Genomic DNA, 26001 nt, shown 5'->3' with positions numbered 1-26001 from the left:
AGAGCTGTTCCGTCTGCGTGGTGTACATAACCTCTTATTGTGCCAGAGCACCCAGTTCAGCACGAACGTCCTCCCATTCACTTCCAGACCCTTAAGAACAATGAGCCCCTTGGAATTCTGTAGGACTTTGAGACTAGGTGTTTTCATCACATACTTATAACAAATTCATGTGAAAAGAGTATTGAACTGTGGGTAGCAGAGAGAAAACTGGGCTGGACACCAGGGGTGCTGGTTGCTTCTTCCTTGTTCTCTTGTGAGCCAGCAGAGTGACCCTGGGCTTGTCACTGAACCTTTCTGGATCTGCTTCCTCATCTACAAAAGGAGAGGGTTGAACTGGGGAAAAAATTTCTATGGTAACTTACAGTTCTAAAAATACCGTGATACTAAATTAAGGTTTAGAGGGAGGCTGTCACACCACAAATAATGGAATCTACGTTTCTGATTCTTGGTCCCTTGTCTACAGTACTAAACTCCAAGAATCGTTTTGAAGACCACTCTGAGACTTCTTTAGAATTCTCATCCTACTCCCCATATTCTTGGAGTGGAGATTCAGTTTAGAATTCCAGTTTTAGATAAGCTGAAGGGATTCCAACTCCTTTGTTTTATAGTTTAAGAAACTGGGCTCCAGAGAGATTGAGATTTGTTCAAATCACAAAATGAGTCGGAGGCAGAGGCCACGTTTTCTGATACCGGGTCGAGAGCGCTTTCAGCTGCAGCATGCTTCCCACAGAATACAGGCTGTCTGTCTGCAATGCCACTGGGACCTCATTTGCAATGTCTCCAGAGTGGTCCTTGCCACCAGGACCTCATTTGCACTGTCTCCAGAATGGTCCTTGAGGGCAATTGCTCACTGTCCAAAAACCATCCTGTCTGTCAGCTGTAATCCCTGAGAATGGGAAAAGTAACCAGGGTGTGGGGAAGGAACCCATCTCCCCGTGAACCTTTTCTGTTTAGGTCTGAGAAAGGAAGCAACAATTTCATTTTTTCTTTCCTTTTCATTTCCAGACCTTACCTTTCCTCCCTGGTTATTATGTAGTCAGAATTTATTTGTTTACAGAAGATGCGAATCAGCCAGCCCCCAAAGGGTTAACACTCCCAAATTATGGGGCTGGGTTAACAATAAACAGGATGTCCTCCAGAAATTAAATTTAAACCACTGTGACTCAGGCTGGCCCATCCCCTCCACTGGATCACTGTTTGGGGTCATTATCGGTGGTTAATTACACCCTTGGGTTTAGCAACAGTGTGTTGGTCAGTTTGGGCCAAAGGAAAGCAGGCTCAGGGAGAAGGGGGTGTGGAGGGAAGGGTGGGATGTGGGCCTGGTGGAGCGGGTCTGGTGCATTGTGGAAACGGGAGGTTTGAATGGAAGAGCCAAAAGGAGAGGGATGAGCATGGCTGGCTGAGAGCCCTCTGCCGGAGCTGATCGCAGGGATTCTTGACTCACTTCCTACCTGGGATCGGGAGTCTACCCTTTCCATAGCCATTGGGATGCACTTTCTAGCCTGGCCTCTTTTCTTCCTGGAGTTGGAGAATCATAGAATGCTCAGTGCCTCAAGGAAGCTCCTAAATTACCTAGTTTAATCTACTCGTTTTATGCAGCAGGAAATGGAGTCCCAGTGCAGCCGTCACCTGCCGAAGGGCAGCCTGCTCAGTGGAAGCGGAGGCCAGGCTAATGCTCAGGTTGAGACTCCTAGACCCATGATCCTCCTTCCGCTGTGCCATGCTGTAAAGTAGGGAATCTGAGGTGCAGCTCTTCATAGCAAGTCCAAGGCAGACTTGGGCTGGATTTCAGATTATTTTCCAAGTTAGCAGCTTTTTGATTTTGTGAGTTTTCCCAGGGAAATAATCCAGCCCGGCCAATCACTAATGCCTCTGTTATTTATTAACTCTCCCCAGCCTCCAAAGAAGATTTGCAGATCCAAAGTTTGCCCCTCTATAGAGAAGTAGCAAAGCACCTAATATAGACCATAATGATTCGTGATTTCAAGGATGATAGCTATTACAGTGAGTCTGTAATTTCTGAGTTTGCACCTCCTCAAGACACAAGGTTTTATTGTCATTCACAGGGTGTCTTCCCTTTCCTGCCATCCTCGCGGGTGTCTTCCCTTTCCTGCCATCCTCGCCTTTCCTCTCTTCCCCTTTCCTTTCCTTTCCTTTCCTTTCCTCCCCCTCCCCTTCCCCTTTCTTCCCTTCTGTTCCCTTCCTTTATCTCTTTAAAAGACAGGGTCTCCCTCTGTTGCCCAGGCTAGGGTGCAGTGGTATGATCATAATTCACTGCAGCCTCAAACTCCTGGGCTTAAGTGATCCTCCTGCTTCAGCCTCTCAAGTGACTGGGACTACAGGCATGTGCCACCACGCCCGGCTAATTTTTGGTGGTTGTTTTTTTGTGTTTTTTTTTTTGAGATAGGATCTTGCTATATTGCCCAGTCTAGTCTTGAACTCCTGGCTCAAGCAGTCCTCCACCTGGGCCTCCCAAAGTGCTGGGATTGCAGGTATGAGCTGCCATACCCAGCGGATTTTTTTTTTTTTTTTTGGAGATAGGGTCTTGCTCTGTCGCTTAGGCTAGAGAACAGTGGTGCAATTATAGGTCACTACAGCCTCAAACTCCTTGGCCTCACCTTTTCATTTTCTTTAAATGACAGACTATCAGTAGCAAAGATGTTCTGGGGCAGAGCAACCTGCATCTGACACTGTAGGTGGGAGGACCTATCTCTCTCTTAGAACCAAGCCCAGATGCCAATGGTTGTATGCCCACCAGGGCACATGGTCCAAGTAGCAAGCCATGGCCACGCTTCCTCGCCCTCCTGGGGGAAAGTGGCCTGTACTGTACTGATACTTTGAGCTGCATCCTTCCCCACTTCTCACAATATCTCTCTTTGTCTCTTTCTCTTATAGGATTCCTTTTAAGATTGGGCAGCCCAAGAAACAGATTGTGCCCAAAACAGTGAGTAACTCGATTGTTTTGCTGTGAGATTCAGTTCTGTATCACATGGCCTTTGCATAAGAATCAAAGCTTTGAATCAACACATCTTGGGGCTGGGAAGACAGCAACCTGGGCCTTCTTCCTGCTTATGCGGATCTAGAACCTCACATAGACTGAGGCTTAGAGGGGCCTCCTGTCCTGGGACACTTCCCCTAGGAAAGGTTAGCCTGGGCTCTTTATCATCCTTGGGCAGGGGGAATGGGTGGATTACAAAAATGTAGAGGAAGATATTGCTTTAGAACGGTCCACCTCTAGGGACTGGCTTGTGGTCTATACTTTTCCTAAGAGTGTTCCTGAAAGAGTGGCCCCCACCAAAGACACTGCCCAGGCATTTATTTCTGTTACCTCAGCTGCAGAAAACTCCAGGAAGCTTTTCCCAGTGGCCTCGGCCTGTTTGTGTCAACTTCCAAATGCATTCTTGGCCATGACCCAGAGTCACTCAGCAGGAAAGGAAGATTGAATCCCACCCCCCTTTAAGCCCACAGTTTTTATCCCTAGAAAGTTTTTATCTCCAGAATGGGAAAGGAAGAGAATCATAGATTCTTAGGAAGTTAGAGCTGGAAGCTCATAGAGACCATCTAGTCCAACCTCCTGATTTTTCCTGATGAAGAAAATGAGGCCCGTGGAAAGTTGCAATGACTTCCTCAAGTTATAAAAACCCCACACTGGCAAAGCTGGAGTTAGAACTCAGGCGTGAGCCCCTGGCTGATACTCTTTCCATTGCCTCATGCTTCCCTGGGCAGTGAAGCCCTCCCAGTGTTTTGGAATCCCGGTGCAAAATAGCCTTTTCAACCTCCTGACCCACAAATCTGAGTGGGTCTCTTGGTTTTAACATGGGAGACCACAACTGTAGAGCCTCTCTGATGTGACAGCTACAGGAAGTCCGGTGCTGTGCTGGCGGCAGAGGCCCTCGTCTGTCATCCCAGCCCCTGACGGTTCTCCTTGTCTTACTAGCTTCTCCCCTCCTTGGCAGAGCTCTCAAAAGTACAGGAAAGAGATTGCTTCAGTGTGGTGAGAAGTTTGGCACACATCTGACCAATGGCTCCATCTCTAGCAAATCCAGAGTAAGGTCACTTGAGAGGAAACAGGCCCAAGTTAAAAGCACCCTCACAGGGTCCAGTGGCTTACGCCTGTAATCCAACACTTTGGAAGGCCAACGTGGGGGCATCATTTCAAGCAAGAAGTTTGAGACCAGCCTGGGCAACAAAGAGAGACCCCGACTCTACCAAAAAATATGCACGCCTGTAGTCCCAGCTACTTGGGAGGCTAAAGCAGGAGGACTGCTTGAGCGCACGAGTTCGAGGCCACAGTGAGCTCTGATTGCACCACTGCACTCCACCCTAGGTGATAGACTGAGACCCTGTCTGTTAAAAAAAAAAGTTGGGGGGTGGGGCCTCTCTGCTTCATGCAGAGGCAGGGTGCTGACCAACTCAGCGCTGACCTCTCATGCAGAGGCTGACCATCTGTGGAGGCTCTCAGCTGAAGTCCAAAGAATCTGGGTGTGCATATGTTGGTCTCTAGCCGGCTGCAGGAAGTGGGAAGGTGTGGCTTTGAGTCTCCAGAGTTTAATCCATGACAGATCTGAAAGGGAAGTGGTTTCAAGAGGGTTCTTTTATTCTGAATGCTCACTACAAACAAAAACCCTCCCAGCACCCCAACCTTTATCAAAATGAACTTTGTTCTCCACAGAAAGTGTAGACAAACCAGCTGCTTTGCCAGTGTGTTGGTGGCAAGATCTCTGGCTCCGTTGATCTAAGGAGTGGCAAGGACTCGCAGTGCGGGCAGATGCACACAGGGCATCCCTCTTCCCTTCCTCGCATCTGTCTCGCTGGAGATGGAATTGTGGTCCTCTGATTATGGCATCTGCTCTCTGATAGACTGGGGGTCAGGTAGGGGTTAAGAAACTAGGTTTGGGAGGCTGGCAGCCTGGGTCCCCATCCTGGCCCTGCCACATGCTGTCTCTGACCTTGGGCAAGTTCCTTAACCTCTGGAGCCTTCATTTTCTCGTTTATAAAATCAGGATGATGACAGTACCTGTGTCACAGATGTTACTTTGAGGCTCACACAAGATAATACACTGAAGGCACCTAACACAGTGTCTGGCACAAAATAAGTCCCCAGTTAACTACATCACAGGAAGCTGGTTGATTTGACCTTCTTTATGAACCATCAGGGACTCAGCCTGTCCCAGGCAGCTAGATTTCCCAACGCAACAAAAGTCGGCTGGGCCTTTGATCTCTCACAAGGAATCACAGCTGAGCTACAGCTCGGAGTAGTTATTTGCTTCCCTGGCCTATACCCCTCCACTCCCCAGAGGCACTGAAGTAGAAGTAGTAAGACCCTGCCTCTTCAGTCTCATTCCCCACCCACCACCCCCTCCCGGCCCCCAAAACAGGCCTGGGCTGTGCAGTTGTCTCAGCATCTCTGGCAGCTGCCCTTGAACAGCAGTGACGCACTCTGTTGTTCTTGCCCAGGCACTTTCAGGGAGGGGAGCAGCTGTGGCTGCCTGGGTTATTGGAAGTCATGGAGCCCCTGTCATGGGAAGAAATGCTCACGTTATCTTCAGGGAGTTTCAGGAGGTTTTTGGCTCAAGGCACCCAACTGTCAGGCACAAAGAAAGCATTGTGTCCCTACCCTCACTGCTCTCCTGTGCCCAGGTTATTAACACAAATTCCATTATTGTCAAGGCTTTGGCTAGAATGGCTTGTTCCTGCTGGGGCTGACCATTAGAACTGAGATGGAGGAACAAAAGCTCCCCCGATCCCGATCCTAACCTTCCACCCAGTCCCCTCCCACTCCCCAGGTCCCATAAAGTGGCGGGAGCATCGTAGCGTAGGAAGAAGCCGCCACACCTTCCTCCATAACCTGGGAGGATGGAAGAGCTCTTCGAAGCTTTGCTCTTCGTGTCCCCCTGAAACAAGGGTTACTGTGAGTCTTGCACACAAGGAACATGCGCTCCAAGGTTCCTAGCCAGGTGGGTGCTCTGCAAAGTTAGGGCAAAGAGAGTCTGGCCACATGCAGCCTCTCCACTGGAGAAGGATTTTCATCTGCCAGGTGGCGGGGCCCTTAGCCTCGTTAATCCTGCTTAATCCTGCTAGAACATACCTACAGGGAGCCCACTTTCCACGCAGAGCATCCCTTGAAGGAGGGGCTTCCCAGAATGCTGAGGATTCTGGGCTTCTCAGACTCCGATCAGATGCACCTCAGCCCTGGGATCAGTGCCCCAGCCCTGCCTGCCAGTTTCCTTTTTCACTTCACCATGAGCATAAGTTTGGGTGGGAACTCAGCCTGTTCATTCACTTCATACTGAGTTCCCACTCTGTGCCAGGGCCTGACCTGTGCACTGCCAAAAGAGCAGGGAACAGCAAAACCCTTTCCTCCCACCGTGGGCCTTGGAGAATGAATGCAGGGGGTGGCCACGGGTAGTCGTCTGGGGCTTGGTTCTCCCTGAGCTAACCTCGCCAGCCTGGCCCAGCTTGCCCTGATCCCCTGATGGTCCGTGCACATGTGTTTATACTTGCATTGTTGACTGGGGTCCAATTGCCTTTTTGGCAAAGGCATCAAGCATTCAAAGATGTTCAGATCTTTTCTGTCTGGCTCTTTTCCTCGGAATGAGGCTCCAGTGTGTCCCTTTAGTCCCTTAGCCATTATCTGAGAGGCTAGAATTCTGGCAGTGTCCCCGTGCATCTTTCCCCAGTGGAGGAGAGAACTCTCGGACCAGTGAGCTAGAGAAGCAACCCACCCCGGCCGCTGGAAGCAGGGGAGGTGAAATGTGTCCAAACTCCTCTCAGGCTGTCAGATGGCCTTGAGCGGCACCAAGTAGAAAACGCGCTCCCACCCCTGACCTTCTCCTCAGCTTCATTGTGAGACCTCAAGTTCCTCAGCTTCCAGGATGATCAACCTAGCTGAAAACCTGAAGTCCCTCCCGGTACAAGTCCAAGCAGTCCCCAGCCAGGGAGACCAGGTGTTGTCTGACATCCCACACACATCGGCACACTTGGGGGATTGCAAAAGGGAGGAAGGGAGCCAAAGGCTAGGGCCCCGGGGTTCAGCTAACACTCAGCACCCCTCCCAAAGAGCGCCCCCTGTGTGTTCTGGATCTCTAGAGGGGTTTGGTTTGGGCCAAGTAGTGCTTAGTTTTAATTTTCTCTTTCTGGAAATAAATACTTTTAATAAGTAAAGATGCTGCTCAGCTGTCATATCCTGCAAGGTTAGAGGAAAGATGTGGGCCGTGCGCGGTGGCTCATGCCTGTAATCCCAGCACTTTGGGAGGCCAAGGCAGGCAGATCACTTGAGGCCAGGAGTTCAAGACCAGCCCAGGCAACATGGTGACCCCATCTCTACCAAAAAAAAAAAAAAAATTCAAAAATTAGCCGGGTGTGGTGGCTCACTCCTGTAGTCCCAGCTGTACGTGGGAGGCTGAGGCATGAGAATTGCTTGAGCCTGGGAGGCAGAGGTTGCAGTGAGCAGAGATTGTGCCACCGCGCTCCAGTCTGAGCGACAGAGTGAGACTCTGTCTCAAAAAAAAAAGAAGAAGAAGGATGTGTCCAGCAGGCTGGGCACAGTGGCTCACGCCTATAATCCCAACACTTTGGGAGGCCGAGGCGGGGGGGATCACCTGAGGTCAGGAGTTCGAGGCCAGCCTGACCAACATGGAGAAACCCTGTCTCTACTAAAAACACGAAAATTAGCCAGGCGCGGTGGCACATGCCTGTAATCCCAGCTACTCGGGAGGCTGAGGCAGGAGAATCGCTTGAACCCGGGAGGCGGAGGTTGCGGTGAGCCGAGATCACGCCATTGCCCTGTAGCCTGGGTGACAAGAGCGAAACTCCGCCTCAAAAGAAAAAAAAAAAAGTGTGTCTAGTAAAGGGAGCTAGGGCATTATCACAACACCCAAGCATGGGACTCCACCCTTAACCAACATCAGGGTTTCCCTGGCTGCTAGTTTCCTGTGTGCTTGGGGCAGCTTATAGCCCAGGTTTATAGCCCAGCCTGCAGCCCCAAATTGCTCTGGTCTTCCCAGCACCCCAGTGAGCAGGAGAAAAACACAGAAACTAACATTTAGTGAGGACTGCCATGGGCCAGGCACCTTGCAATCTGCTCTACACGCACTGCCTCTTAATCCTCAAAAGGAACCACTGGGGTAGATGATATCAGCTATTTCCTCGTAAGCCACCTAAAGTTGGCTGGGTGAGGTGGCTTAAACCTGTAATCCCAGCACTTTGGGAGGCCAATGCAAGAGGATCACTTGAGGCCAGGAGCTCAAGACAAGCCTAGGCAACATAGCAAAATCCCGTCTCCACTAAAATTTAAAAAATTAGCCAGGCATAATGGCATATGCCTATAGTCCCAGCTATGCAGGAGGCTGAGACAGAAGTATTGCTTGAGCCTAGAAGGTCAAGGCTGCAGTGAGCCATGATGCCACCATCGCATTCCAGCCTGGGCAACAGAGCAAAACCCTGTCTCAAAAAAAAAAAAAAAATGCTTAGTACTATCAAGTCTCCACAGCTAGTATCAGAGTTCATATCTTACCTGTCTCTGCTCATGCCTCTAAACTGCATTCTTCCAGCCCTGCTGGAGAAAACCAGGCTGACACCAAAGTACAGACTTTCAAGGGCCCTGGCGAGGCTCCTTCACACCAAAGCAAATTTCCCACCTGCAGTTACACCAGAGTCTTTCCGTTCCTTTAGCTAAGACTTTGGTTCCTGCAAACTTGTAAATCCCCTGGGACAGGCAACACTTTAAATGCTCATCAAGCATTTGTGCTTTAGTGGGAGTGATTTTTGAATTTTTTTCTTACGAGTAGCTTTTGCTGGATCCTAAGGTAAGTAATGATAAAAATAGTGGGTTCCTGGATGGAGAAAGAGTCTGTTGAAAAGAGGAAGAAAGATTGTAGGATGGGAGGCGGGGGCACCAATGGTGGGTTTTACTTCACAGTTTTGTGGAAGGTTCTAGATGCTAGGATCATAAAGTAAGGAAAAGATCATTTTTTTCCTGCTTCTGGATTTTACAGTTGAAATGAGGAAGGTAAGCTATCTCCATGCAGTGAGTCTGTTGTCATGCCCAGAGAGCCAGAGCTAAGCAGACTCTGTGTTCAACTCTCTCTGGCCTCATTCCTGCTGTCCAAAAGGCCCATCATAGTCAGCAAGTAAATTTGTATCTGGCAGTTGTTTATCTCCACCACCAGGGCCCATGTCTGTTTGAATCACCAGGGTATCCCCAGAACCTGGCAGAATGCATCGCACTTAATAGGTGCTCATACATGTTCGTAGGAATGAATGTTGTTTAAATTTGAAACAAAAAGACCTGAACCAGGACTCTGGATTCTAGCCTTGCATTGCCACCAGAATGTCCTGCATCCTTAGGGAAGTCACTCCTGTCTCTGGGCTTCGGGCTCCTCATTTGTAGCATAAATGCTGTTTTGTCATTCCAGGGCTATGTTGAATTAATCTAAATCCAAACGTGGAGTGCTAAGGTTAAGGGGCTTAGAATTCTCTCATCAGGTCAGCGTTGCTGGAAGACAGTGGTAGGAATAGCGTGGCTTTGACAGTTTCTGCAGATGTGTACTCCCTGACCCTCAGAGCAGAAGTCAGGATCTAGGGCTCTTGGGGACAGGATTCCCAGGGAGCAGCCAGGAAGACTTCTTTCTTGGGTCAGCAAATGCCTTCCAGGAGAATGATGGTTACGAACACAGGCTGTGGAGCCAGGCTGCCTGGGTTCCATTCCCACTGTGCTCAACTCTACCCCTCACCAATGGGGTGACCTTGGCCAGGGTACGTAACCTGGTTCCCGGTGACCTGCCTTGGAGATGAGTGTAGAGAACTGCATTCTTGTAAAGCACACAGTGAGGGCTCTGTGAATGTGAGTTAGCGGTTTTGACTTCTCAGAGCACGAAGCCCGAAGCTGGCACCTGACGGCTGCAGCTCTGGCCAGGGAGGGCAGGCCTCTAGCTTAGTCTCCTTTGCCTCTCGATGTCATTTACTTCCCATTGCATGCCCATAAGAGACCAATCATGAGGCTCCGTTTTACAGATAGTGAAGTCAAGGCACCAGAAGAAAGTACTAGACTTCTTAACTTCATCTTCCGCAACAAGTGCAGCCCCGGGTTCAGGACTCACCCATTTGGTTTCAGTGTTGCTGGCTCTCAAGAGAGTTGATACCCGGTCGGGAATGGAGAGAGCCTGACCTGAGTCAGTAGTCACAGTGTCTGTGTTTGATGCATCCCAATCACAAAGCACAGGTGCACGATTGTTCCTGACCCACCCTGAGCCCAGCAGGGGCAGGTGGCCCTGAGTGGAGGGCCGCGTAGGAGGGGAGGTGCCCTGCATGGACCTGGAAACTAGGAAAAGGCAGAGACAGACCCCCAATTCCAGACCCGCCCTCTCCTCTGCACTCTGCTGCCTTCCTGGATGGGGTCCAGTCACGTTCTGAGCACCCTGACTGCCTCCAGCCTGGGGTGAGGAGGGCATGCAGCGAGTGCCTTGCTCCCAGCTGGGAAGAGCAGAGCCACAGTCCGCTGGCACCTGCCTGGCTGGACCCTCTGGGAGGGGAGCCTTCCTCCGTAATTCAAACACTTAATTAACTTGGGATCTCAGAAATACCGTGTCAGGAGCGATCTGTCGGTGCTTGTGTGAACTGGACCATGTTGTTTTCTGCGGACTGGGGCAGGGTGTGGAGAGAGTTTCAGGAGGCTGGGAGGTTTTTTCCACCGTGTTGTCATTTCTCCGATAATTGAGTTATCTCTCTCGTTTCAGGTGGAGAGAGACTTTGAAAGGGAGTATGGAAAACTTCAGCAGTGAGTGTCAACCCCAGAAAGATGAGGTGGGAGGCAGGGAGGGACAAGGGCCCCCTGCCAGGTCTCACCTGTCTGCCCCGTGCCCTGCCCCGTGAGCACCCTGGAAGCTGAGGGCAGCTCAGGTCACCAGGCTGCTGGAACTGTTCCCTGGCAATGGCCATGTGAGAGTCATTCACTCATAGCCTTTGGGTGTAGTGGCACTTCAGTCAGCGGGAAAAGTCCCCGTGGAGAAGATCCCTTTCTCCTCCTCCTTGGCAGGCCCTCCAGAGCACCTGGGCTTCGCTCAGGTAGGGGGAAGGAAGGGGACCCCAAGCAGCCCGTCCCCTGCCTTGCAGGCTGGAAGAGCAGACCCGGAGGCTGCAGAAAGACATGAAGAAGAGCACCGACGCAGACCTGGGTAGGTGACTTTCCACCCGCACCACTCGCTTGAGCAGGTGGGGCAGAGGTGGGCACCCTCCTCTCTCAGCCCCCCAAGGGCTCTGAAGTTGCTGCGCTCAGAGGACGTGTACCCAGTGTCCTGAGAAGCAGCCTCAGGGCAGTCACTCCTCACCAGTCACATCCCACTTTGCACAGAGCTCGCACTGCCCCACTCTGGATGTGGGTGCTGGGGCAAGGCTCTCCTGGGACTCCAGTCAGGACAGTACAGCAGCTGGTGGAAGCTTCTGGTAGCAGATGCCTCCATTGCCTCAGAATCCTGGCCACCGGCTCAGGCTGTCCAGAGGGAAAGGGAAGCACATTCCTTCCCGCAGAAACGAGACTCCGTGGCCTGCTGGGACAGGCGCTCCAGTGGCAACAAGAATGGAAGCTGTCATGTGTTTAAACAGGAGGTTGGGTTAAAGTGTAAGGCCAGAAATACCCCAGATAATTCTATGATGACAAAGGGCACCGGGAGGTCCTTGGGAAGTGGGGGCCAGCAGGTGCTGGGAAACAGCCAGGGCCCTTGGGGAGGTTTCTTGGCTGGAGAGCTCTTGTTTGAAACAAGGAGGAACCAGGCCTGGGAGCCTAGAGACACAAGCAGGTCGGGAATAAGGGAGCATCCAGAGCCCTTGCTGCAGGCCATGTCCCAGGAAGGAGGCGACGAGCAGCCGGGAGAGATGGAGACCATTCCTTGAGGTTCTTTCTCCAAGGCCTTGACTTTCCCACCCCGGAGCAGCAAGCACTTGACCAAAGGTTGATCAATAGCTTCAGCACTCCCTGCGCAGCTCTGGACAGCTGACTTAGCTCTACCTCAGTTCCGTCACCCGAGAAGCACAGGTAACGCCAATCCGAGTGGCACAGGCTGTTGCTGAAGATGAAGTTGGATGAGCAACGTAAAGCACTGAGAACAGGGCCTGGCACGGGTCAGCTCTCGGGGTGTCCGCTCCTGTCATCACCGTCGTCATGGTCGGCAGCAAGCCTCCCTGACTGGGTGGACTCCTGCAGCTCCTTCCCTGGGTCCAGTGGGGAAGCCGTGTCTATATACCACACTGGGACGAGGACCTGAAAGAGACTTGGGTATGGCCAGGACTGCCCACTTCCTCTCACTCAGCAGATGCTGACCGAGAACCCACGTGCACCAGGCACTCTCAGCACTAGAGACTCAACAGCAAGACAAGATGGGAGCTTACGTTCTAGGAGGAAGACCTGCAAGAGGTCCACAAGCGGATCGGTATATAATGACACGTCGTGGCGTGCAAGGTCAATAAAAATAAGGAGGTGGAGAGTGACAGGGTCAAGGGAGGCCTTCGTGGGGACGTGATCCCTGGGCAGAGTCCTGAAGGAATGAATAACCCACACAGGTAGAGCCAAGGGAAGAGGGCCTGAAACACAGTGGACAGCAAGCGCGGAGGCCCTAAGGTGGTGCACGCTGACCAGAGATGCAGGAGAGGCAGCAGGAGGGTGGAGAAGCCATCTTCAGTCCCCTCGGCCACTCCAGCTGCTGAATAATGCCATGTTATGGCTGTGAAGAAATTTCACCTCCCTGAGCTTTTCTGACCTTGAGATTGGCAGGGCACATGACACACCCATTTTATAAATGGGCATGTCCATTTGATAAAGGAGGAAGAGTTCAGCTCCTCTTCTCCAAGTCCAGGGCCTTGTCTCCACAGCGAAGCCTCCCCATGCCCCACTCATTCCTTTGCCCACCCCCGTGCCCGCCACCAAACTAGAAGGTGACCGAAACAGCCCCCACTCCGGAACCGTTGCCCATCCACTCTTTGCTTGGCTGTCTGTGAGCCTAGTGCAAATGGGGCGGCCTCACTGTCTCCTGACACCATTCAAAGGGCCACAGGGCAGTGGGCACCTACGGGTGGGACTTGAGGACCAGTGTGCTCCTACTTGGTACTGCAGTTACGAGGAAAACCCTTGAAATGTCCCAATAGAGGCAGTGATTTGAATTTGTTCCCATTTTATGCCAGCTCCTAAGCCTCAGCCAGTTACTGATGTGTAAACACACCTTTCCTACAAAGCACTGATCACAAAAGGAAAGCGTTCCTTCCCTGGGAGCCGCCGTCACCACCACCATGCCCGGGTGAGCGCTGACTGCCTGTGCAGGGACTGTGGCCGTCTTGGTCTGTGCCATGAATTTTCATGCCAGTGCTAATTCCTGGGCCGTGGGCTGGTCTGAACATGCACCTTGCTCCTGGCCTCTAGCGTTGCCAAACTATGTGTGTCACAAGCCAAGGACTGGATTTGGGAGTTTGTCTGCAGTTGTTTGTTTTGTAGTTATTTCAGGTCTGAGTTACTTGGGTCGCATTTTTCTTGATCGGTCCCCACTGCCTTTCCAGTTCGGGAGCTGCTGTGAGCCATTGCTTCCTTTCCTTCCTGCTTCTGCAGACAGCTGCATTGTCAGAGCATAAACGAAGCCAGGGTGTGCTGTGTTCACAGTGGCTTGCTACGGAACCAAGGAGGGCATCAGGGGTCCGTGACGCACCGTCCATGGCTGTGGAAAGCTTAGTTTCCCAGCAGAGAAACCAGAGTTGAATGGGTAACTGCAGAAGCCTAACACTACTGTCCTCAGTCAGGAATGGATGTGGGCAGAGACAGTGCCTCTGAAGAGCGGTGGTGGTGGTCATGGGGCCAAGGCGAGCCTGACAGCCACATCAGTCTCATGTACGGGGCATCAGTGTTGTAGGCGGGCTTGCTGTGCCGTGGGCCGCTGGGCCCCACCTCCAGCCTCCAACTAACTCATGAGCTGGGCGAGACCTGAAAATGTGTGTCCCTGGAGTTCCCAGGTGATGCTGAGGCCCACACTGTGAGCTCCACTGATCTGGACAGTTGAGGGGAATGGAGGGATGCTTTTCCTGAGCGTGGAATCTCCTGCGCTCCCCCAGCAAGGTGGAAAATCCCCAGTTATTCTAAAAAAGATGACCTTTCTTTCAGAAACTCATACTACTTTCAGAGTGCTCTGGTGAATCTTTGAATCTTACATTCCAGAGGCCGCATCAGGACTCCAGAGACCCGGGTGGGGTCCAAGACCCTCACTTTCTCTAAGGTTCAAAGATCACCAGCCTCCTGGTGTGGGCCAGGCTGACTGTGCCCCTCTCCCAGTCCCTGCAGGGAACAATGAGGGGTATGGGCTGGGGCAGGGACCACAGGTCCAGAGGGGCATGGAGACCTGCTGTTTATTTTTGTTGAGGGGGAACAGAGTCACACTGTGTCATCCAGGCTGGTCTCGAACTCCTGGGCTCAAGGGATCCTCCTGCTTCAGCTTCCCAAAGCACAGGGATTACAGGCATGAGCCACTACGCCCAGCCAAGACCATGGTGTTCTTGGTGTCATCTACCCCAGCTCTGCTCTGCTCACATGAAGCGGGGGCATCACTGGGCGGGGATTCCAGACCCAGTTCTGCCCAGGGCCGGCCACTGAGCCCACTCAGTTCCTTGACTTCCTGACAATGCAAGAGCTTTAGGAAAGAAAGGGGAAAATGCAGCTGGGCTGGGCGCAGTGGCTCACACCTGTAATCCCAGCACTTTGGCAGGCAAAGGCAGGTAGATCACCTGAGGTCAGGAGTTCGAGACCAGCCTGGCCAACATGGTGAAACCCCGTCTCTACTAAAAATACAAAAATTAGGTGGGTGTGATGGCAGGCACCTGTAATCCCAGCTACTTGAGAGGCTGAGGCAGGAGAATCACTTGAAGCCAGGAGGCGGAGGATGCAGTGAGCCGAGATGATGCCATTGCACTCCATCCAGCCTGGGTGACAAGAGCGAAACTCCGTCTGAAAAAAAAAAAAAAAAGGAAAGTGGAAAGACCGTGTCCTCGCTCCTCTGGCTTTTTGGGTTGTTTTCCTCAGATATTTTTTTAAGAAATAGCAGAAGATGTTTTTCAGAAACATTTCCAGCTTTATCCAGAATTTTATTATCTTTTTATTATGCTGTATGTGATCATTTCATAATCAAATCAAGTTATACGTAACGTTTGTTCCTAAATCTACAGAGTCACTCCACAGAATTTAAGAGGTGTTTTTCCCTCCGTTGCTTCAACATTTCTGGAAAGTTTACATTTCCAGCCTTCTCCCACAGTTTGCCCTTTTGCTGGTTGACTGTAGCACTCTCCCAGATTCCAGAAAAACCCCAGGAGGGTGCTCCGGGCTGGCTAGTCCGCTCAGCGCTGCTTTGCTGACTGGTGAAGGGGCCTGGCGGAGGCAGACCCTTCCCCGGGGAGCGCAGGGTCAGGGTTCAGGTTCATGCCATGGAGTGCTAGGCAAGGCCACATCTGTGATTAACTGGGAGGCAGACCTTATGTCATGGGTCCTAAGACACTTTTTCCACAGTTAATGTCTCTGAAATCAAAGTACTGAAAGTGTAGCCTGGTTTGATTGACAACAATTTTTTCTCCCTTAGTAGTTCATACAATAAGTGACTTATAATGAAGAGCATCTTAAATTCAGTAACATGCATATGGTAAGAAATGCATTCACAATGTGTCTTCTCTCCTGAGACCTGCCCCAGATGCACTCTGACACTGGTACAGACGGCATCAGGCCAGCATGACCCTTCTCCAGGGCCGCTTCCTGCCCCTCCAGAATTTTGTTTCTAGAATCTAGAAATAATGGAGGCCTGAAAACATGTTCAGGACCAAGAGCTCCAAAGCTGCCAGCAGGTCTCCAGCCCGCCTCTGAGCCGCCTGTGACTCCCAGGCTTCCCATCTGCCCAGCAGGGAATGTCAACACAGGAGGGAGGAGCACAGAGGGGTGGGCGGCACATTCATGGGGATCCGGTACCAGGGTGCCTTGAAAAACGTCAGTGGATGCCTGATGGACAGAGCCTGATGGACCTGTCCACTGGCTTCCTCTAGGCCAGATCAGAAGGAGAGCAGTGAACAGGGAAGCAGCTGCCCAGGGTCAAGGGTCAGGGCCCGGCTGGCGCACTCAGCCGTTTGACCTTGGAGGCATTACAAACCCTTTTGCGCCTAATCTGCCTCCTCGCTAAAATGGAACCAAACTACATTTCCGCTAGACATCCCCTGGGTTGTTTGAGCCCTAAATGAGAGTGCATGGGAACCTTGGCAGAACCCTAAGATGGGGACCTGCTGGCAGCTTTGGAGCTCTTTGTCCCGTACAAGTCCCCAGGTTTCCATTATTTACAAACAAAATTCTGGGGGAGCAGGAACAGACCCGGGAGGAGGGCCCTGCTGTCCCAGTCCCGCCTGTACCAGCTGCAGTGTGTGTCTGGGCGAGTCTTGGGGGAAAACACATTTTCCAGCGTATCTCTTCCTACTGGATATTGAGGAAACCAGGGGTTGGCAGGGTGCAGCTGCTGGCCTAATCTGACCTAGTTTTGTCAATAAAGTTTTATTGAAACAGCCACATCCCTTTTTTTATGTGTTGTCGCTGGCAGTTTTCACAGCACAAGGCAGAGTTGAGAAGTTGCAACAGAAATTGTATGGCCCACGAAGCCTGAAATATTTACTGTTGGGCCTTTTGTAGTAAAAGCATGTGTAAACTGGAGTACTGTTATTCTTGTCCATCCAGGAGTCCCAAACCAAGCATCACGTCCAAACCACTTGGAGAGCGGTTTTAAATGCATATTCTTGGGTACCGGGTTTACTGAATTAGAATCTTTGGAGCCAGAAACATATTTTATAGCCTCCCACCCAGATGGTCCTTTTCTAACCCAGGGTTTGGAGAACAGGTAAAGCGGCTCAAAAGAATTGTCTGGAGCAGTGTTAGGGTCAGGAATGAACATTAAACCATGGGGATCAGCAGCTTGTGGTTGTGTGGTACTTCGCCGTTCTTGACGGCCGTGGCTGTGGGAAGAGGTCTTCAGGGTGCAGGCCCCTGGCATAGGAGGACGGGGTCCTGGAGAGAAGGCCGTGAAACCTGCCCCTTCATAGAAGGTTCACCGAGCTTTGGCTTCCCACAGCCATGTCAAAATCTGCCGTGAAGATATCCTTGGACTTACTCTCCAATCCCCTCTGTGAGCAAGACCAGGACCTTCTGAACATGGTGACGGCCCTGGACACGGCCATGAAGCGGATGGATGCCTTCAATCAGGAAAAGGTGACTAGGTCTTGGTGTGGGGTGGGCAAGCATGACTTCTGCCCGGTCTGGGCCTCTGGGTGGACTGTGCGGGGAGGCCCGAGTGGGCTCCCTCTGCTCTCAGGGCTCTAAGCCCTCTGGCCTCGTGTGCTGCAAGGTGCTGCAAGCCCACAGGGCTCTTTCCAGACTGTTCTGCCTTGGCTCTACCTGCCTCCTGAGGCTCCACGAGCTCATGTTACTTACTGTGAGGGTTGCCGGCGGCAGTCCTGTTCACCCCAGCCCCTGAGGCTTCTGTGGCCAGCCACCCGGCCTCCACCCTGAGCAAAGCCAGGCCCAGGACAAGGACAGCACCCTGTGGCCCTTTAGACTTCCTAGCCCTTTGGTAGTTAGGGGCCCTGCCTTGCGTGTCGCCCTCCCCTCCCCACCAGTTTTAATGTCTTTGGGTTTTTCTTTGACAGGTGAACCAGATCCAGAAGACTGTGATCGAGCCCTTAAAAAAGTGAGTAAATGTCACCTGGGGGCCTCGGGGCACTTATGGGAGAGGCAGGTCAGCAGCCACTTGGGGACTGAAGAGGATTTCTAGCTGCGTGTCCCCAGATTCCCATGGGGCCTGACGGGAAACTCAGTGGGGACGTCAGCTCTGTGACCTGTGGCCTAAGCGTCCATGCTCCTGGGGGCTCCAGAGTACCCACATGGCCCAGGCGAGCTCAGGGTACCCCTGCCACCACCCCCTTCCCACCCCACCCAGCAACCGCCGCTGTTCTGGTGGTCATTTGACCGCTTCCTCCTGATTGAGAGCCACTGGGGCCAGGGCTTGCTGAATGGAGCTAGCAGAGATCTTGGCCAGCCCTCAGCGGACATGAGCAAGGCCTTTCATCTTGCCCCGCCAGCTTGGGAGAGCAGCTGCCTGCAGCACTCGGCTCTGGAAACGTGGGGGTGGCCGCACACAGGGAGGGGCGTGGCAGCGGGGTCTGGCCCGGGAAGGTCCTCTAGCTTGTGACCTGTTGGGGTCAGGAATGCTTCTATGAGGCTCATCTTCTGTTGGGCAGGCCCTGGTCAGTGATCAGACAGGCCTATTCCCTCGGTCCCCAGGGCGGGGAACAGGCAGAGCCGTGCCTTAAAGCCCCGAATCACTTCATCTTCCCTGGCCTCTCTCGAGCAGGCTGTGACCTAGAAAGCTCCTGTTCGCCCAGCTGCACTTCCTTGCCTCTTCTGCGGTGGTCCCAGGCAGTGCCTTGCCAGGGCCGGGTAATGAGGCTCTGCCTAATTATCACTGGCCTGGCCCAGGGCCCACACGGCAATGAGAGGAGCAGTTTTTGATCCTGCAGCCCCTGGTGTTTCGGATTGCTGAGCTGTTCGTTGATTGTGCAGGCCTGAAGTATGGGATTAGGAAAAGGCCCGCCTGACCCTAGCAAGCTCTTGTTTCTAAGCCAGGACCGTGGAGGCTCAGCGAAGGCAGGGAGGGAAGGGACTGTGCCTCCGGCTCCGGCCCTGGCCCCCCAGCCTCCCCAGAGTGGGCATCCACCACCCCCTGCCTGCTGGGGACAGCGCAGCCCCATGCCACAGGGTTGCGTAGGGAGCTGGGGTGCAGAAAGAGCTCCGTGGCTGTGGGTTTTGGTCCTGGGCTTCGGGACAGACTGTTCAGGGCTGGTTGGGAAGGACATAGACTGAGCAGACCCTGCCCACAGAGGGCTTTTCTGTGCCAGGGCCACAGGGGTCCCAGAGACGGACACAGAGGCTGCCACAGGCACCCATGGCTGGTAGAATGAGGCAGGGACTCAGAGAACTGGGGAACTGACTCCCACCTCAGTTTCAGTATCAGCAAGGCGCCCTTGAAATCTGATCCCTGGCTTCTGAAGCCCAAATGGAGAGAAACCCCGGCCACTTCCCACCACCCTGGTGGCCCACCACCTGCCAGGAAGGTGGGGGCGTGGCAGAGGGGGCGCACATCTCCGCAGCGGATCCGCTGACCTCTGCATGAGCCCTCAGGCCTGCCTGGCTGGCTTCTCCCTGCATCCCCACAGCTGACATACGATCTCCCCCAACCACATAAAACCGCGCAGCCTACAGCCTCTTCCCATTGGCTTCCTCTTGCCAGAAGAGAAGCTCCCAGGGACCCCAGCACCGGAAACAGGAAACTCCAGCTTTCCTGTCCTCTGATGAAGATCACGGCCACATGGCCACCCCACCGCCCCCAGCCTCCCTGCAGGGGCTCGGCCTCTAATCCCCAGTCTCTGGGCCGTATTCACATGTCGGATGGGGATGCTTTCAATTTCCCTTTCCTGGTGGGTGGAAGCTCCCGGCTGCGTGGGCACAGACCAAGGCATGGCAGGCATTCCCCACCAGTGCTGGCTGCGCCCAGCCCACCTCCCAGCCGGCCTCGCTCACCTTCCCTCTCCTTCTCCTCTTCGCCCCTCCCATCCCCAGGGGAGTGAGTTTGATATTGAGCCTTAGGACAGACAAGAATTGGGCAGTGATCATGGGTAATGCTTTGATCACTGGCCTGGGCCCAGCCCGGCCCCCTTCTTTGAGGATAAATGTAAAACAGACTTCAGGAGCTTACAGTCTAGTGGAAAGCCACAGCGTGTTCTCAGGTCAGCGGCCAGGTGTGGCAGCTGCCAGCGTGGTGCAGGACCATGGAGCGGGGCATGCTCGGTGGGCTGTCTGACCTGCCCCCACCTGGCCTCGGAGGCTGTTTCCTCACATGTGGAAAGAGAAAGCCAAACTGACTTCTCATAATGGGACAGTCAGCACCTAGGAGTGGGAGAGGAGGTTTTGGTGGGCTGAGGTGGGCAGGGAGAGAGGAGGGGTGAAGTGCGCTGGAACAGCAGAGTGGAGCCTGGGTCCTGGCTTCACGCCTGGGGACAGGCTCCCCCAGTGTGGTTGGGTAGAGTCAGCAGGGCCTCTGTGGGGTCCCAGGGACATATCTGGGAGGGGCTGGCACAGGCGCCCAGCCTGTGCACGTCTCCACCTCCCCTGCCAGCAGCCTGAGCCCTGACCTGAGATCCCACACAGCACCGTGGCACATCCACTGTCCACCCCGGGGCTTTGGCAAAGTCTGTTCTGTTGCTAAGAAGTAGAAAACGGGGAGATGGGGCCTCAAAGGGTCAGTGAGTGACCAGGGCAGATGTGACAGAGTCCTGGTCCACTACTCTTCAGCCACCTTGGCACAAGCTGCGCCCTGCCCTGACTGATGTGAGTTCCCACTGAATGTAGAAAGGTGTGACACTTGTCCCTACCCCTAGGGAATCCCAATCCCAGGACCCAACCTCCCCCCACCGTGGTTGTAATTTATCAGCAATCACCTCCAGTGGCCTGAGCAGGCAGAGCCTCTTGGTGGCTAAGGGGTGCTGTCATGGGAAACGGAGGTTTTCATGGTGAAGACATGCTCTTCCCACTGGGGCAGGCGGCCTGCAGAGGCAGGTGGTCTTGGTTCCAGGGGGCTGGCAGGAGCCCATGCAGCCAGGTGGCCACCTGGAGACACCACCACGCCATCCCCCGAGGAGCTCTGTAACCCGGCCTCCCTCACCCCCGCTCGGCACTCCGCTGTAGTCAGCGCTCCTGGTGGCTCTGACTCTGGCACAGGAAATAATAAGCCCCAGCCGACAGCTGTGGGAAGGGGGCTATGAGAGTGCCTCAGGGGATGTTGGGGGGTCAGGCTGCTGGAGCAACGAGCATAGGGCTCCTCCCATCCTGCACCGTGGAAGCCACCTTGCGCACACACGGCTTCACGCTGTGATGCCCTCCTTCCTGAGGATGTGAGCTCAGGGTGGTGGGATTGGGGCCAGGGCCAGAGAGCTCTCCACCTGCTGCCTCCTGCCTGCCTCATCCTTGCCCTGTCCCAGCGCCTGCACCTACCCGGCAGCTCCCAGGCACCCACAAGGCCCAGGCACTGGGACCATCCAAGCAGCAGGTGGCTTCTAACACAAGGATCAGGGCGAGGACCAGGGTAGCTGCCGGTGGTCCCTTGGCCATTTGGGGCTGAGGGAGAGGTGGCCTGGTAGCCTCTCAGGCCCAGCTGCACCTGCTGCCTGAACACGTGCCTCTCAGCTGCCCAGGAAGGGGGCAGGGCTCCCCAGCAGCTGCAGCTCCACCACGCAGCCGCCCTGGGCAAAGCATCAAGTCTAGCTCCTCCCAGCAGTCTCACCCCAGCCCACGCCATGGGCGACTATGCATCCTGGTGGTGTCTGCTTCCCACCCTCAGTTCCGTAGTGCTGAGGGGCCCGCGTTCTCTGTGCACAGTCCTGGGAGGCCCATGGCTTCTGCCCGGCAAGTCGGTCAGATGCTGGTTTGATTACTATGTCTAAGGGCACGGGTGAGCATTCAGGGTGCTTTGGTGGCTTCACCCACTTAGCACCTTGTTAAGACAGGGAGCCCCTTATGGACACTGTTGAGGTAGAGGATTCCTGTCTTGGGGATAAGCCCTTTGTTTCATCAAAATCTACTCCCTGGGTCTGACTTAGTTTGGGGGCATTTAATGCTTTGGTAAAGTTAATATCCTCTTACTCCCTGGCAAAACTGTTCATTACTCTTACCTCAAATGTACACTTGATTTGCTGAGGCTTTTTAAAAACAGGCCGGCCACGGTGGCTTACGCCTGTAATCCCAGCACTTTGGGAGGCTGAGGCGGGTGGATTACTCAAGGTCAGGAGTTCAAGACCAGCCTGGCCAACATGGTGAAACCCCGTCTCCACTAAAAATACGAAAATTAGCTGGGCGTAGTGGCACACGTCTGTAATCCTAGCTCTTCGGGAGGCTGAGGCATGAGAATTGCTGGAACCCAGGAGGTGGAGGCTGCAGTGAGCAGAGATCATACCACTGTACTCCAGCCTGGGTGAGAGAGCAAGACTCTGTCTCAAAACCAAATTCCTGGTCATGTCCTTTGAGAGGCACATCTGGGAGTCCTGCTCTGTGTGGTAGCTGAGCTCCTGGAACCTGACAGTGAGTCTGCCAGCATCCTCTCAACTCTGAGTGCCTATGATCCCAGTCTCAGTAACTGCTTCCTGCCCTCGTCTTTCCTCCTCTCTGGGTTCCTCATAAAAATGTCCAGGAGGAACCAACTCTTCTGGTCCTGGGTCACCTCCGAATGGCCACAGAGTCATGAGCTCCCTGGGCTGCGCAGCCTGATCCTGGACACTGCAGGGCTCTGGCTTGCCTGGTAGACGCCCCCTGCCATTGCACCGAGGGCCAGCCCTCCAGCAGCAGCAGCGAGAGCCTCAGGAGAGCACTGCTCCTGGTCACTAGAGGACACATGATCCACAAAGACGAGGCCGGTGTGGACCTGCAGCGTTGCATCGTCCACTGCTGCTCTCTCTGAGGGCCACTCCTCTGAGTCTCCCACGCGGTCCCTTCTAGTCACAGTGGAGGTCCTCAGGGCATTTTCCTGAAGCAGCTGGTTGGAACTTTGGCGGTTCCAATGGCAGAGCCAGAGGATTTCTGCTGCTTTCATGTTGCCAAGGAGCCCTTGAAGGAGAAGGTGCCCTGGGGCAGGGGTGAGTTTAGATTTCAGTTCTGCCACCTGCCAGTGGCACTGTGAGGGCTGGAAAGGGTGCCAGACAGAGAATGTGGACACCTGTGTTCTCTTCTAGACCTTCTCTGCCTCATCGTGACTTTGGATGAGTCATAGGTCATCTCTCTCTGTCCTCAGTTTCCCTCCTTTTTAAAAGTGAGGTGTTGGCCAGATGACTTCAAGGCACCTTCCCCACCATCCCCTAGTCCGTTGTGTGATAAAGCTCACAGGAGGTGGGGGTCAGGGCACCCTTCATTCCTGGGCCACCCTGTGCCACCCAGCTCCCTGGACCTGGCCCACAACCCCACCTCCTCTCATCTGCCCTCACCCCATGACATTGTCCACGTTCGCACAAGCTCCAGGGGACAGGGCCTCATCTGTCTTGTTCACAGTGAACTCCCCAAGACCTAGAGCAGGGTCTGGCGCTTGGTAGGTGCTCAGGGCACATTTTTGGACAAGTGAGTGCTGGCCAGGACGCCCCTCCAAGAGCGGACCCATCTCCAGCCAGGCCACCCCTCCAAGAGCAGACCCATCTCCAGCCAGGCCACCCCTTCAAGAACGGGCCCATCTCCAGCCAGCTTGTCCCACAGGTTCGGCAGTGTCTTCCCGAGCCTCAACATGGCTGTGAAGAGGCGGGAACAGGCCTTGCAGGACTACAGGAGGCTGCAGGCCAAGGTGGAGAAGTATGAGGAAAAGGAGAAGACGGGGCCAGTGCTGGCCAAGCTCCACCAGGTACCAGGGGAGACAGGTGGGCAGGGGCTAGACAGGTGGGCCATCGTGGTCACCTGTGGTAAGTCCCTCCCCTCACCTGGGGGCACCAAGACACCAGACGTCCCCACCCCACCCATCCCGTATCCGGCACCCAGCAGTGAGAGAGTTTTGACACCCAGGTCTTGTTCCCTAGGCACGAGAGGAGCTGCGGCCTGTGCGGGAGGACTTTGAAGCCAAGAACAGGCAGCTGCTGGAGGAGATGCCGCGCTTCTACGGCAGCCGCCTCGACTACTTCCAGCCCAGCTTTGAGTCCCTCATCCGAGCTCAGGTGAGGCCGCCAGGTGCTCTTCCCCTGGGCTTGGTATACACAGCTCATGCCACTCCCTGTCACCCACACTGGAAGGGTGGCTTAGCCATTCTCCGTAAAGACAGGGCACCCACCCCAGGCAAAGCCCTGAAGGAATTCATTCCATTACCAGAGTCCCAGGCTCAGCGACTTGGGGGACCTGTCTGCTGTTAGACTCCTCACATTGCTCTCTGGTAAATCCCATACCAGGAATGGCCGAGGTTCCCTTTTGGTCCAGCAGTTCCGCCATGGATCTCTCTACATTTCACTATAAGTAGCTCCTCTGCCCCGCACCCTCAAGTGGGCGGTTTCTTGGCCCAGGGTGGTGCCGAGAAGAAAGGGATCTGGAGAATGGAGGCCTTTTCTGAGGACTCAGCTCCCCTCCCCTGCCTACCGTGAGCCAGTCTTTTTAGCAGGAAACGGCGGGAGTCCTGCCTTGGAACCACTAAGGAAGGGGGCTCCAGAGCCCTGGGGAGAGCCACAATCAGGGCTGCTCCTAGGGCCCTGGGGTGGAAAGGCAGGCCTGGAGGCATGGGGGCGCCACTGGGGGTCAGACACGGGCCAGGCCCCAGCGTCTCCTTCCACTCGGGGACGGGAGGACACGGAGTGGCATGCTCCTCACCCTCCTCCATCTTCAAGCCTTTAGGAAGGATTGTTCCCCCAACTGGCAAAATAGAAAAGGGTGGGCACCCATGCCAGAAGCGGGTCCCTTCCACACAGGACCCTGCTGATGGCTTGCGCTCAGCAACAGCCTTAGTACCCCAACACCCGTGGCACCCTGCCAGGTCCCTGTGGCTCTGCCCCTCCTGGCCCGGGTGGTCTGAGCGTGGCTGGGCGTCTGGCGCCCTCCAGTGGCCATTTCCTGCAGGCCCGTAGTCGCAGCCGTGAAGCCTGGCCAGTGCACACCCACCCTGCCGGGCCAAAGTCAGGGTGGCCACCTGCCCCAGTCAGGACACCTGAGCAGGGTTCATGCCGGGGCGGGACCTTGTCAGTGACCCACGTACTTGGTCCTGTGCCATCTTTAGGGGGCAGTGAGACCTAGAGCCTTCTGCAGGAGGAGGTAGGGACTTCTCCTGACACTTGCTCCTGCAGCGAGGGCTCCCTCCAGCCGCCCCATTGGGTTCACGGGAGACCTGGGCCTGCCTCTTCCTCACTGTCACCTGGGTGCTGCCCTGCACCCTCCCTCCTGTTGCTCACAGGAGGAAGCCACAGGGTGCCAGGCTCCCGCGTGTCCAGGTTGGAGCAGATGGGAGGCCAGGGATGCCCTTTAACCAGGCAGCATTGCTGGGGGCTGTTGACTGCCTCTTGGGCCCCAGCCTCCCCCTCGCCCGCCCGGCTGCCATTAGTCATGGAGAAGTGAGTATTCCCAGTGACTCAGCGCACAGTGGCTTGGGCAGGGAGTGGGGGCAGGGTGGGCCGCCGCCAGCCCAGAGGTGACAGCAGTGTGTTGAGACCAGCTCACTTTAGCACCCCCTCGGCCGGCGGAAATCTCGCCTCAGGAGTATCAGCCGTGGGTCCCCGCCCCACCTGGCATTTCCCACAAGGTCCCCTTAGTGTCTAGAGCTCCTCCTCATGTCTAGAGTGAAACGTGGAAGCTTTCAGGAAACTGCATGCTTTCATTGGGTCATGAGGTAGAAACTGAGGCAGAAGTGGCCCCTATTGTCTGTGGAAAAGCCCCTGGTCCTCAGCCATCTGGGAGAATTGACGGGCTTCCCCATTCCTCCACCTGCCCCACCCTCAACCCTGTGTCCCCTCCCACACCATTTCTGGTGCCTCCCTAGAGGGACCCTGGCAGTGAACCTGGCCTCTGAGCTGTCCCCCTGGCCACGCAGCTTGGGCCATGAGCAAGGGTGGGATGCAAGTTGGGAGGGAACAGAAGGCTAGACGGGCATCCCCTTTCTTGCCTGTGCCTCTAAAGCTGGCTTAGGGCTTTGGGAGCCATCAGCCTACCATGCTGTCTTTCTGCCATGGACAAAAGCCTTGGGTTCTCCCCTAGCTTACAAAAAGCAGTAAAACTCCAGTCATGGTGCCCATCATTCCACAGTCGCCCTAGGAGGCCCATGCCTTCCTGCACCTGCTGCTGGGGGAACCAGGAGCCCGAAGCAGGGGCGCCTCCACCTCCAGCCACTGAGGCCCTGTTGCTCCCCGGCTCCTTTTGGTTCAGTCTCAGCTAGAGCCCTTCCGTGCCCTGCATATCCC

At 54.5% G+C, this 26001-nt stretch overlaps 1 protein-coding gene and 1 long non-coding RNA gene across 6 annotated transcripts in view, besides 6 other annotated features; both read left to right on the top strand.

Annotated features, from left to right (window-relative positions):
• BIN3 (bridging integrator 3) overlaps positions 1-26001 on the top strand; it is a 48704-nt gene that overhangs the window by 21423 nt on the left and 1280 nt on the right. Inside the window, exons 2-9 of one of the 5 annotated variants that reach the window (NR_156436.2) lie at positions 2896-2944; positions 10737-10777; positions 11113-11174; positions 17121-17257; positions 17695-17735; positions 23336-23477; positions 23650-23784; positions 25002-25158. Coding sequence is in view for 4 of the 5 variants with exons in the window: in NM_018688.6 (NP_061158.1) it covers positions 2896-2944; positions 10737-10777; positions 11113-11174; positions 17121-17257; positions 17695-17735; positions 23336-23477; positions 23650-23784 (607 nt within the window). In the remaining variant the exon portion in view is untranslated. The other 4 variants (NM_018688.6, NM_001363046.2, XM_011544587.2 and 1 more) reach the window with 4 other exon arrangements.
• BIN3-IT1 (BIN3 intronic transcript 1) lies at positions 5490-7328 on the top strand. Its single transcript, NR_027715.1, has one exon. It is a non-coding gene; the product is annotated as a BIN3 intronic transcript 1 (long non-coding RNA).
• Positions 15497-16031: an enhancer, noted in NCBI's record as "H3K27ac-H3K4me1 hESC enhancer chr8:22489181-22489715 (GRCh37/hg19 assembly coordinates)". NCBI's record gives its function as "activates a minimal SCP1, AML or CMV promoter by ChIP-STARR-seq in primed H9 embryonic stem cells {active_cell/tissue: H9 hESC(primed)}" and the evidence as "EXISTENCE:reporter gene assay evidence [ECO:0000049][PMID:30033119]".
• Positions 16032-16566: an enhancer, noted in NCBI's record as "H3K27ac-H3K4me1 hESC enhancer chr8:22488646-22489180 (GRCh37/hg19 assembly coordinates)". NCBI's record gives its function as "activates a minimal SCP1, AML or CMV promoter by ChIP-STARR-seq in primed H9 embryonic stem cells {active_cell/tissue: H9 hESC(primed)}" and the evidence as "EXISTENCE:reporter gene assay evidence [ECO:0000049][PMID:30033119]".
• Positions 18076-18708: an enhancer, noted in NCBI's record as "H3K4me1 hESC enhancer chr8:22486504-22487136 (GRCh37/hg19 assembly coordinates)". NCBI's record gives its function as "activates a minimal SCP1, AML or CMV promoter by ChIP-STARR-seq in naive and primed H9 embryonic stem cells {active_cell/tissue: H9 hESC(naive and primed)}" and the evidence as "EXISTENCE:reporter gene assay evidence [ECO:0000049][PMID:30033119]".
• Positions 18709-19342: an enhancer, noted in NCBI's record as "H3K4me1 hESC enhancer chr8:22485870-22486503 (GRCh37/hg19 assembly coordinates)". NCBI's record gives its function as "activates a minimal SCP1, AML or CMV promoter by ChIP-STARR-seq in naive and primed H9 embryonic stem cells {active_cell/tissue: H9 hESC(naive and primed)}" and the evidence as "EXISTENCE:reporter gene assay evidence [ECO:0000049][PMID:30033119]".
• Positions 20610-21243: an enhancer, noted in NCBI's record as "H3K4me1 hESC enhancer chr8:22483969-22484602 (GRCh37/hg19 assembly coordinates)". NCBI's record gives its function as "activates a minimal SCP1, AML or CMV promoter by ChIP-STARR-seq in primed H9 embryonic stem cells {active_cell/tissue: H9 hESC(primed)}" and the evidence as "EXISTENCE:reporter gene assay evidence [ECO:0000049][PMID:30033119]".
• Positions 24567-24736: a silencer, noted in NCBI's record as "silent region_19004". NCBI's record gives its function as "represses an Ori minimal core promoter by ATAC-STARR-seq in GM12878 lymphoblastoid cells {active_cell/tissue: GM12878}" and the evidence as "EXISTENCE:reporter gene assay evidence [ECO:0000049][PMID:35858748]".

This window comes from Homo sapiens, chromosome 8 (genome assembly GCF_000001405.40).
Source record: "Homo sapiens chromosome 8, GRCh38.p14 Primary Assembly".
NCBI classification, from domain to species: Eukaryota; Metazoa; Chordata; class Mammalia; order Primates; family Hominidae; genus Homo; species Homo sapiens.
The sequence above is the reverse complement of the archived record's forward strand: the minus strand, read 5'-3'. Positions and strand labels throughout refer to the sequence as shown.